Raw genomic sequence first — 13,387 nt, 5'->3', positions numbered from 1 at the left:
CTAAGGTGAGAACAGGGTAGGTACAAAGGAATGCAAGGAAAAAAAAATTACATATCTGACATTCAACATACGATTTTGTAGCAAGACAACAGTCATGCAACCCAGATTATTACCTTGACATAGGGTTTCCTACATTTCTTTATTTCTTCCATTTTAACATAACCAGAAGCAAGGATGGAGAATGAAGATCACTGAGTTCTCCTGTCATACAAAGAAAATATTCTTTCTGCTATGGCAGCCAGGCATGAGGCTTGCTGTACAATGGTAGAAAAAGGATATAACACAGGGGAGATAAAAAAAGAAACTGCTTTCGGCCTGGAGGATTTGAGCAAGAAGCAGGAGGAAGAAGCAAAAGATGAAGAAGAGGAAAGGTAAATAGTGAGGGAGGTGACACCAAGGGCAGAGAGGGCTCCTGCCCCTTGCCCACTGGGGCTCAAGGACTTCCCAGCACCAATGTGGGGTGGCCTCATCAGAGAAGCAGTGGCAGCCTAGCCCAGTTTTTTAGCCAGAAAGGCCCTGAGTTGAACTCTCCCAGCAAATCCCTGACTGCTTAGGGCATAAAACGTGCCGAGAAATTAGCCTATGCCTTGTGGAGGGACCAAGCAGTTTCCTGAAGGTACAGCTGCTGAGTCTGCCAAAAGGGTTCCCTCATCAGGGGCCACAGTCTTTGTTGCCAAGGGCACTAGGTCTGGGATGAGGTTCGCTGGATAAAATACAGGACATCTAGTTACATTTGAATTTCAAATAAATAACAAATCATATCACATGTAATATTTGGAACATATACTAAAATTATTCATTGTTTAACTGAAATTCAGATAGACAACTGAGATTTAAGTAGGTGTCCTGTAGTTTTGTTTGCAAAATCTGGCAACCTTACATGGGCCTCACCAAGAGCTGCCACCAGACTTTAGTCAGGGCACTACCATGCTCACATCAAGCCAGGAGCATGTCAAGACCATAAGTTACATGAGCCAAGGACCTCAACTGCCAATGTCAACAAGATGCCCACCGACCAGGGACTTGTGTGGACACTGCTGTCCCGAACCAGTGGACAGGGTAAGGACTCTACTTAGACCTAACTGTCCTGAGGTCACATGCTCCCCGTACATCTAGAAGCACCTCAGGGAGAAAAGCAGAGGTAGGGAGGTATCTGTGAGTGTGTTGGTCTGTTCGTGCTGCTATAACAAAGTATGTGAGACTGGGTGATTTGTAAAGAACAGTAATTTATTTTGTCATGGTTCTAAAAGCTGGAAATCCAAGATCAAGGTGGCAACAGATTTGGTGTCTGATGAGGACCTAATTTCTGCTTCCAAGATAGTGCCTTGTTGCTGCATCCTCCAAAGGGGGCGAATGCTGTCCTCATATGTTGGAAGCAGTGGAAGAGCAAAAAAGGGCCTGGCTAGCCTATCCCTTTTACAAGGTCACTAACCCCATTCATAGACAGTTCCACCCTCATGACTTATGACCTCTAAAGACCCCACCTCTTAATACTATCACACTGGGGTTTAAGTTCCAATATATGAATTTTAGAGGGACACATACATTCCAACCATAGCAGAGTTAGGGAAATTTATTTGCAAATCATTGTATCAGACCAAGCTATAAACTGGAGTAAGATGAAACATATTTTGCCAGGCATGGTGGCTCATGCCTGTTATCCTAGCACTTTGGGAGGCCGAGACAGGCTGATTGCTTGAGACCAGGAGTTTGAGACAAGCCTACACAACATGGTGAAACCCCTCCACAAAAATAAAAAACAAAAATTAGCCAGGTGTAGTGGCACACGCCTGCAGTCCCAGCTACTCGGGAGGCTAAGGTGGCCTGTGCTTGAGCCACTGCACTCCAGCCTGGGTGACAGAATGAGACCCTGTCTAAAAAAAAAAAAAAAAATATATATATATATATATATATATATATTTTTTTCCCCTGATACTCAGAGCAGGGTTTCATAGAGAAAATAGATCAGGAAATAAATCAGTGACTCAGGGTCTCACTCTGTCACCCAGGCTGGAATGCAGTGGTGTGATCATAGCTCACTGCAGCCTCAAACTCCCAGCCTCAAGCAATCCTCCCACCTAGGCCTCTGGAGTTACTGGGATTACAGGTGTGAGCCAAATTTTAAAAGTGAATTTTCTCTGCATATCTGACTTGCAGTGTGAGCAAAGCTGTGATTCCCCACTCCATGTCTATCTGCAATTGTTACAGAAACACGAGGGGTTTGGTCTAGGTCCTGCTGCTTGCTGCACAGAAAGCCAATCACTGAGACAATGATTATTGCTAAGGAAGAAAGCTTTAATCAGGTGCTGCAGCCAAGGAGATGGGAGTTCAGTCTCAAATCCATCTCCCTGACAGACTAAGACTAGGGGTTTATATAGCAGGGAAGAAATGTAGCAATGTGGAAGAAAATAGGAAATAGGGAGGGGCAAGGAAGCAATCATGATGAATGAGGGGTCTAGCATCTCATTGTCTGGATGTGGTGATCTGTTGAGTTTCAGTTCTTTGATACTTTTTTTTGAGAGGCCTGAAGGTGGTTTCCTGAGGAAAGAACTCAGATAAAACAAATGTGAGGTTCAAGCTTTAAGATCAGAAGGTCTTATGCTTGTTTATCCAAAAAACTATCTACAGGACTATTAGCTCAGTTTCACGATGAGTTTTTAAGAAAAGAGAAAAAAGGAATGATAGATTGTCAGGAGAAGCCCCAGCTATGTCCCCACCAATGAAATTACACCTTCACCCCTCATTCCCATAGCTCCTCAGTCCCAAGACTTCCTGAGACCCATAGCTCTGCCCCTGTAGATGTTAGTGGTGTGGTTCTTCCCCAGCCATCCCAATCTAAATCTTTGCAAACAGGTGTGACATGGCTTCACAAACCCCCACTGTCATGGGATCCAGGTACAGACCAGAAGGGTCCCTTGCAACTCCCCAGTCCTATGGGAACTTGGAAGGTCCCCCAGCATGACAGATGCTGCTTCCCACAAGTGCCACAGGGTGAGCTGCATGCCAACCCCACCTCTTGGAGAGGGTCCAAGTCTCCTTTCCTTCCTCCCAAATAATGAGAATACAATTAGTATAAGCTGGAACAGATTAACAGAGAGCTGTGGGATGGGCCAAATATACACTCTTCAGAAACAATCACAGACACTTGGAATATTTTAAACTTCTCTGAAAGTTTTAAGCCCTCCCCCAGGTATAGGGCTCAACATTTGAAGGGCTTGGAAGCCTGTCTGTCCAGCTTCTACCTGACATATGAAACCCCAGCACAACTTCAGGTCAACTGGTCACTCTGGCTCTGCTTAGACCCTCCAGCAATGGGAATCTCATTACCCCGCAAGGGGCAGTTTTCATTCCTGTCCCTGAAGTGGCCCCAGGAGAATACAAAGCAGGAAATGATTTTCCAATAAGTCTGAGAAATTTTTATTATTACAGTTCCTACTTTCCCAGAGTCCTATTCGATCCAATTATTTTTCAAAGTCCAAGTAAATGTGGATTTTCATAATCAGAGAATACTTATTAAAGACAAGACATATGAAGCTCTACACAGAGACTCAATGGGTAAGATGTCAGTGACAGATGGATGCTGTTCACTACAGAGTCTGTGGAAGCCAGGTGAGGTTACTCTGCATTTAAAATGTAAATGAAATTCTCTCTAGCTTTCTATCCCACATCCTGTGGAAGTTCCCTTCCCACAATTCCTGAAAATTCCCAGGAGCTTATATTCTCATGGTCACTGTTGGCTTCTGTTGACTCACTCACTTCTTGCCTTTTGGGCTGTTCCCTTCTCTCTGCTCACCCTTCTGTCCTCCCAGCTCCAGGGAACTCCATCCTGTTTCCTTACTTTCCTACTGAACTCTTCAAACAATAATTTCTGAAACAATGGGGAATGCACTATGCAACTTAAAATTGAGTATTAGACATTCTTTAAAATCTCCTGGTTGCCCTGCCACAGAAAACTTCTCAATGACCATCTTTCTGAGTAGGCTTCACCCTCCTACAATGGGTCTGTTGTCTGGTTCTCTTGCCACTTCCTCTCTCCTCTCCTCTCTATCTCTCCCCACACCACTCTTCATTTCTGAAATAGGAAAGTATAGCCATCTGTGTTTGCTGTATTCTTCCAACCCCTGCCCTCAAATCATATTTAAAGATTGTTTCCTAAAGACTTTCCTTCCTAAGAGGAACTCTAGTGCCAATGGTAAATACACACACACGCACACACACACACACACAGATTTATACATATATAGGATAGATGGTATGCAGGTAGGTAGATGATAGATAGATAGATAGATAGATAGATAGATAGATAGATAGATAATAAATAGTTTTGGGGTTGTGTGTGTTTTTAACTCACTATATCTCCATGGAGGGTGTTGGCTCCAAATCCTAAAAGGTCCTAATTTCCAACTTTTCATCTCTTGCTTATGATACCGTGTATGTTGTGTGTAGAGGACATGGAAACTAACCTTGAATTATGGTAACAGAAAAACAGGACTAAAGCCTTCCTGGGTAGAACAACAAGAACTTCCTGGTTGGCGTCTCCAGGAGGCCCTCTTTGTGGGTGGGCTCCGTGCCCCCTCCCCACTGCCACAGGTTCATCCTACTTGTGCATATAAACTGGGAATGGAGAGGATGGCAATCTTCACTGAGAAGGCTCTTTCTGGTGGCAGGAGGTAAGCAAGGACTAATGTTAAAATTCTAAAAGGTCACACATATGAACCCCACACGGTAGATGAAGCAGCCGTAACCAGAGCTCTTTGAAGTGGACAGGAGGACCTGAACGGCACTGCTCAGGGCTTTCATCACTGTGTTCACCCCGTCTCACATGGACCACAGAAAGAGGGAGGCAGGACACCACCGGGCTGGCAAAGCAACTGGAAAGTGCAGAGAATAAAAAAAAAAAATGCCTGGCTGAAATCTGCACTCTCTTATTTGTGCCTTCAGTTTGTGCTTGTACTCAGGTGTTTGTGTTCTTCCAGAGAAACAATAGGCTCATTAGAGCACAAGTGAAGAAGTTACTTAATTCTTACAAGACAACAGCCATGCAGGGCTGCAGATGAGTGAGAATCACTGATGAAGCTTTAAATTGATACACTCACTGAAGCGTGAGCTATCAATACTGACCTTGTTTGCTGCTTCCCAAGCAGGCAAGTGGAGATCTTTGGAACCTTTGAGTAACAATCCATGCATTTAAACTGATTCCAAAGAACTGCATTTAATTTAACCAAATAGCTCCATTCAATTGTTTCAGTATTTCTAAGGATTAAACTCTTATTAGAATAGACATTTTAAACTTTTATTTTAGTCATCTAGTTTTTCAAAAATCCAGTTTGCTCAGAAGAGTCTAAGCCTGAGCCTTCTACATGTTAACCTTCTAGAATGAAAACATAGTTGAAGTCTTCAGGAGATTGCAGCTGGAGCAAACCCAATGCACTCTAGTAATAATAGCCAACATTAATCTACTGCTTGCTGGTTACCAGGCCCTCTGATATGCACTTTAATAGGCATCATTTTATTTCATTCTCACTATGACCTTGGGAGATACAGCTAAGGAAATTAAGGCTTAAAGAACTGAAGTGATTACCCAAGATCTCAGAGCTAATTAAGAATTGAGATTCAAATCCAAGGCCTGAGTTCTTAGCCACCACCCTGTATTGGCACCAGTGTGATTCCACAAGTATATAAATCCATGAATTTTTCTTAATTAAGAATATATTAGAAGAAGTAAAAGTTGACCATACATATTTTTTCTTATTGCCCATCACATAAATGGTATTCATTTGCTCAAATGCTCAGCTTTCTCCTAATACCCAAATCCAAAGTCCAACCTCTTAACAACCTCTCTAACCCATAACCCCTGTGGCACTGCTGTATGTTGGCTCTCATTCTGCCTCTCTAACCCAGTTTTCACACTGCGGTCAGAGTTCTTGTTCTAAAACACAAAGGACTCCACTACTTAACACCACCCATTGGCTTCTGCTGTCCACGTCAAATCCATACTCCTCACTTCACACAGCACCCAAAGCCTAGCATGACCCAGCCCCCACCTCTTTTATAGAGTCATTTCTGGCCTCTCATCCTATGTGGACACCCCAAGCAATCACTTTACTCTTTACTTCCCAAACTCAGGTTCAGAAAGCTTCTACCCACCAGCATTATGTGGAAGCCTTGCTCACAGGTGAGCAGAATTTTGTGAGTTTGCTGGGAGAAGGTAAAATCATAGTCTGGAGAGTAGAAGAGGCCTTAGTGATTATCCATTGAATGTTTTCCTGGTTTTTTCAATTCAATGCAAAAGTCCAAAGTCAGTAAGTGCCCTGCATATAATCACATCACCGGTTGGCGGGTATCTTAACCAATTCATACAAAGCCTCTCCTCAGACCAAGAATTTCTGCTCTGTGATCTCTAAATTTAGGAAGTGGAAGTATCTATCTACCTTTTATTTTAAACCTCAAACCTCCCCACCCCCATCTAATTGCATTGCAAGCTAGCACCTTCTAGAGTTAAAGTATTACCATATTTAGAAAACTTGCACACATTTTTTAAAAAGTTCTTGGCCGGGCATGGTGGCTCATGCCTGTAATCCCAACAGGAAGATCCCTTGAGGCCAGGAGTTTGAGACCAGCCTGGGCAATATAGCAAGACCCTTCTCTAAAAAAATTTAAAAACTAGCCAGGTGTGGTGGTGCATGCCTCTAGTCTTAGCTACACAGGAGGCTGAGACATGAGGATCACTTGAGCCCAGAAGTAAAAGGCTGCAGTGAGCCGTGATCACAACACTGCACTCCAGCCTAGTGACAGAGTGAAACCCTGTCTCTAAAAAGAAAAAAAAAGGAAAAGTTCTTAGAGAGTTCTCAACTCTCTAAGGAAACCTGGCCTATTATTTATTCTGTAATTCACCAAATATTTACCAATACTATGATACTACCATATACCAAATAGTCTACGTAACAGGGACTATGAGGATAAAAGTGAGAAAACCTTTTTCTTCCATGAGCTTACCATGTAATATAGGCAAAAATTTGTATAATTCTTTAAGAATCAGTATAAAAAATACCTTCAGTACAAGGGCTTGAAAGGAGGGCTGTACGATGTTCTATAGAAGCACAAAGAACTAAACAGAGTCCAGGAAAGTTTGACAGGAAAAACATAGACCTCCGGGCTACCCTAAAGGCTGAGTCAGCATTTTGATCAGGACAGCCAGGGGAAGGAGGGACTTCGGCATATACTGCCCACGGTTCTGAGGAGGGTATCTTTCTCTTTTGCCAAAGACTCATAAGACTTCAAAAATAATAATGGCTAACACTAGCATAGTACTGACAATGTGCAAGGCAGTCTTCAACATGCTTTTTATGTAAAAGACTACATAATTCTCAAAATAACCCCATTTTATAGATGAGAAAACCAAGACACAAAGAAAAACTAAGTAACTTGCCTAAGGTCACACAACTAGCAAGTGGAAGAACTGGAATTAGATCCAGACAGGCTAGTTCCTATGAACTCCAACCCTGTACCTCCAATGTATTTCAGAGCATAATGTTAAGACAGTACTCAAATGGCAGAAAACAACTATATGATCTTAGCCACTCTAGGCTCAGTGTGTGTACCTTCAGTGAGATCACTGAACCTCTTAAGCCCTCTCAGTGATAAGCCAGAATCAGTCTTCTTGGGTCTAGTCTAGAGGTCTGTAAACATTTACTGTAAAAGGTTAGATAGTAAATATTTTGGTTATCGGATCTTGGTCACAACTACTCATCTCTGCTGTTGTGGCATAAAAGCACCTATAATCAATATGTAAACAAATAGTTGTGACTGTGTTCCAATGATACTTCATTTACAGAGACAAAAATTTTGATTTCGTATAATTTTCACATGTCACAAAAATATTCTTCTGAATCTTGAATTTTTTCAAATATTTTAAAATGTTAAACCCATGCTTAGCTCACAGGCCATAGAAAAACAAGCAGCAGTCTGCTTTGACTGGTGGCCATAGTTTGCCAACCCTTGGTTTAGAGTCTAGAGCACAACTTCTCTTTTTTAAGCAAACTCTACTGGAACCAGCCTGATGCTGCACACCCAGTGAGTACTCAATAAATGTTGAGCAACACTCCAGGATGCTTCACAGGGACATGGTGGAGGAAACACCGTGACCTCGAAAGAGCATGTGACTAGGGATTAGAAGACCAACCTGGAGTCTCAGATCATTATTTACTAACAGTAACCTTGAGACAGTCATTAATCTCCAACTGGGCTTTGGTTTCCTGCTCATTTGTCATTGCCAATAATAGGCCGTGGTATCCTTATGATAGCTACATTTACTTATATTGTATTTACAAGGCAGGAATTTTGCCTATGTTAACTTAATCTTTAGGACAGTCCTATGAGATAGATACTAATAGTATCCTCATTCTACAGATGAGAAACAGAGAGACTAAGTAACAAGCCCAAGGTCACACAGCTGGTAAGTGGCAGGGCCAGAACTTAAAGCCATTCTGTCTTTGGAATCCGAATCTTAACCTCTAGGTTATAATGCCTTCTCTTAAACAAATGGGAAAAATAAAACAAATGAGAAAAATATAAAATATGTAAACTATCCTATTACTTCTGCTTGGCATTTATTGAGCACTTTCTATCAGGCCAAGTATTTGACTCTGTCGTATTCCATTTAATCCCTCTAACAACAATTTTTTTTTTTTTTTTTTGAGACGGAATCTTGCTCTGTCACCCAGGCTGGAGTGCAGTGGCGTGATCTCAGCTCACTGCAAGCTCCGCCTCCCGGGTTCACGCCATTCTCCTACCTCAGCCTCCTGATTAGCTGGGACAACAGGCACCCGCCACCACGCCCAGCTAATTTTTTGTATTTTTTAGAAGAGACGGGGTTTCACCATGTTAGCCAGGATGGTCTTGATCTCCTGACCTCGTGATCCGCCCGCCTTGGCCTCCCAAAGTGCTGGGATTACAGGTGTGAGCCACCAAACCCGGCCCCTCTAACAACAATTTTATGAGGTAACTATTATCAATCTCTTTCACAGATGATAAAATGGAGGGTCAGAGAGATTAAATTGCCTTTACAGAATACTAAAATGGTAAGCAGCAGAGATGAGATTTAAACACAAGCTGCCTGATCTCAGTGCTCAAGCATTCCCTTCAGTGCAGTGGAACTCTCTCAGCCACACCTGTGTGGGTGCCATTAGTAGCCTGTGCAGCTATGATGTAGGTTAAATATGGCTTAAACACCTGGCCTGAGAACCTAACCACCATTTAAAACTCAGCTTCCATAGGATTATGCAATGTGAGTTTGAAACAACTGATTCACAAGTAGATTTTGGAAGATAGCCAGTTGATAGATTATAGCGGCATACATATCTCTGCACATTGGAATGAGATTTGCACTTTTAGGTTTGTTTGCTAACATGCATATCTGTCTTTCCTGTATGTTAATGTTAGGCATGTTTGTCTTTGGAAACAAACTTGTCTCATTTTTCTTACCTCTCTAAAGTAACTACTGCACTGCTTTGCCCACAGTGGAGTCGGTGATCTGACAAGTAACTCCTGATTGCTAGAGGAGGGGCTATATACAATAACAGCTCTCATCAGCCATCCCAAATTTTGCCTCTAAACACACTGGAGGAAGCAGAATAATCTATGATCATGTCTACAGGCACACACTGCACTGTTATTGAGTTAAACTGAATTGAAAGGCTATAGATCAAGGTCAATGTGAAGGCTGAAGAGAAGCATAAAGAGGCCAAGGAGTAACTCTTGTAATCTCAGAAACGGGCTCCTTGACAAGGACCTCTGTGTGAACTGTACAGACACTGGGTGGATTGCCCGATAGTGACAACAGTCCTTATTAAGCTTGTCTTGTTCATTTGCTTTTAAGGCATGTGCTATTATTTATTAGCAATGCTTATGAAGGAGTCTCCTTAACATTGGATTAACAACACCTTTCCCTGGAGTATTTTCTGTGTCTAGAGCTGTAGAGAGGGGTGAAAATTAGTTCAACGCAGCGATCTGGGACTGGCTTGCAGTGTGACCTTGCACAAGTCACTTTATCACCATGATTCTATTTCCACCCTGTAAAAATAATAGTGCTAATACTTGCCCTCTTTCTAACTCTCAAAGATAAATCAATGTCTGAAAAGTGCATTGAGTTTTTGGATATAAAGGCAAGCATTCCTTACCATCATTAATTAACATTTATTAATAGAAAGAATAGTGCAGAAAACCCAAAGGTGATCCAAAATAGTGATGAACAAACCTGTCATATTATATTAGCAACTGTCGCAGAGTAGGCAGTAGAAATGAACAGCTTCTCTTCCTAGTACTGCAGTTTTTCTTCATACAAACTGATTCATGTGAAATTCAATTAGAAAAAAAAAACAAAACTTGTGTGCCAAGTTTTATTTGCTTGAAAATTTCTTAGCAAGTGATGTGGTTTTCTGAAAAGGGCTGTGGGAGGGAAATCTCACCTCTCTCTTCCTAATTGAACCACTGCTGAGTGTACATGAACCTATAATAGGTAGGAGAACACCCATTGACCGCCATTACAGCTAGGTTTCCATATGAGAACTTATTAATTTTTTTAATGCATTACCTCTTTTCTCCTTCATCTGGCTATTTGGGCTGAAATCATTTGACAGCAGCCTTTGGTGTTTTCTGAGAGGTCTTGCTGGCTCTCTCTGTGCACCTGTCTGTCCGAGCAGTAAAGCTGACTGTAGGACTCTCATCACAAATGAACTGTCAGATCATTACTATGGTTGATGCAGTATAATCTGTCTTGAAATTAGAATCAGTCTGGCCAGGCTAGGCGCTCACTTGCCACAGAGGCTAATTCACTCCTTGAATATGCATTCATGGAGATGTGCCTCAATTTGGAATCCAGGGGGAGTACACGTTAAGAGCAGATTTTCTGAATTAGCATGGCGAGAGGAAAGGGTCCTTCATTTAGACGGCTGCAGATGCCGCTCCCTCTTGTTCATTACAATTGCATTTCATCAGCTTTATGATGTCCACATGTCAATTGAGTGTGAGGATTTTGCACACAAAAGAGCCTCAGGGAAAACGACTCCACTAGCTAATCAGCTGATTATCATACCTCAAATGGGCTGCAGTACTTGCTGCTCCCAACCTGTATGGGCGAGAGCAGAATCGAAGATTAAGACTGCAAAGAAAGAGGACTCTTCAGCCAGTTTAGGGAAATTAAAGAAGAATTTGTCAGCAAGAAGAAGAAAGAGCTGTAAAGGCCGAAGTGAAAGCCTTTGAAATAAATAGGCATTTGAAATAAAATGACGTTTTTCTTTAAAAGAGGGTTGGTGGGGAGCGGGTGAAAGGTTAATTAACTATATTATCCTCCCGTTTATGCCCAGCTGTGTAAAGCTCTGTCTGCCGTGGACCTGGATTTTAAAACCGAGACTCAAGAACCCATCCCAGGGTCATGAAGAGCATCTCAGAGTAACTGAATTGGTTTCCTACATGTAGAGGATTCACAACTGCCCTGGGCACCTTTTTACAGATTTCTTTGGATTGTTTAGGAATTAATTGATTAATAACAAGGAAATAATGATGATAGAAGAAAAATACATCCACATGACTCCATAAAGAGTCCTAGCTTGGGGAACTATTTATGAAAGTCATTAATTCAGATTTTACATCAGAGATGCATTTTTATATCTTGCAGAGAGAAAATTAATGGGTGGTCTTTTTTCCCTTTTTGTCTGAAATTTACCAAAGTTTTCTCCCAGCTCCCTAGGGTCTTCCTCAAGTCTATCTAAAATGCAGTTAGAGCAGAGGCTGTCTTTTGCTTCACAGCGCGTCTGCCTTATGCTTTCATCAGAGAAGTCTAACTCACACAGATGCACTATTTAACAATGCCATCCCCTGCTTTCATCAGAAGGGGGAAGGTTGCAGAGCTGAGCCCTGCAGAATAAGGGGGGCAGGTCCCCTGTGATGGGCGAAAGCTGAACATCGGTGCCAGTTTCCATCTGTCATGATAGCCTATCTCCGAACCTTCAATCTGTCAAAAGCTCGCTGCCTGGCTGAAGGCTCCAGGAGATTTGGTGCACTAAACACATTTGACAACAGCATTATCACTGCAAGGAGCCAGCAAAATGCCATCAATGTGTTAATTGTAACTGGGTATGTAAAGTGTCACTTCCCATATCATTTAACACCAGCTTCGCCTCTTTTGCAGTTCCTAATTTTCTACACTTTATAAACATATGGATTGCTCTTGTAACAACAATGTGATCTTCTTAGCAGAGGTTTAATTTTGCTTGGAAACACAGCACTCAAGCTTCTACTGGGGAAACAGCCACAAGGAGGGTGCTTGGGAGGAGGAGGGGGAAGAGAAAATAAAGGGAAGCTTGGAGTTGAGGAGCTGGGGGGAGATGGGAGAGGACAGCAGGAATCAAAGCGCTTCTCACAGGGGCCGCTGTGATATATTTTTTTAGATGCATGAAATGGTGGTGTTTTTTTCAGGGTGTGTTGTCGCTAATGGGTAAATAGTTCTGTTTCTCTTGCAGAGGATGAAAAACACATATCCAGAATTTTTGCAGGCAGTGAGTTTTCTTCCATCATAATATGAACAGTTTTGTAATGGTAAACATGAGAGCAGCACATAAATAAATGAAAAATCCCCCTTGAAAATCTGAATGGGTTTTTAGCACCCAAGTACCTAATATTCAATTTCTGGTACAACCAGAGCCAGGTGTTAAATTTCTCTAGTTACTGTCACTAATGCAAATTAGATTCTTTTTCTGCTCGTAAAAAATCAAATCCACATTAGAAATTAGCTATAAAATGTAATGACTTAAATGCTATAGTGTTTTACAAATCTCTCTGCATTTCTATGGTAGATAATGCTGTAAAACAGAGAGAAGATAATAAAATATGGTAGGAAGTTATTTAAAGGTCTTTTGTGACTGCTTACTTAAAAATCTGATGTATTCTTTTGCTCTTCTTCCTGTCTGTCCCCCCTCCACTGTGGGAAATGAGCATATTTATGATTCTATTTTTTTACAGCTTAGAAGTAATCAAATCCATTTTTAAGTGATGTTATAAGAGCTAGAAAGATCATTTGCGTTATTGAAAAAAAGAATATCGCCCAGAGAAGTTTACACCTTTGCAACTTTTAATCATTGGTATTGTAAAACATCCTGAGGAAAGTTTGGACTGGTTAAACAAGGAGCTTAATTAGCATTTTAAACTCTTTATTAACAGTATCACCAAATTTACCTAGAAGATTGTTTGATAATCCTCACCCACCACCCTACCCCCTTTCTCCTGCACAAGAATATCCAAACGCAAAAGAGAAACCCCTCTTTAATATGGAGTATTAAAAAAAAAATCCTACAATACACAGCAGAGCACAATTGAACTGGGAAGAACATGA

The sequence above is a fragment of the Homo sapiens genome, chromosome 2, assembly GCF_000001405.40.
Source record: "Homo sapiens chromosome 2, GRCh38.p14 Primary Assembly".
NCBI lineage: Eukaryota > Metazoa > Chordata > Mammalia > Primates > Hominidae > Homo > Homo sapiens.
This window is presented reverse-complemented; position numbering follows the sequence as displayed.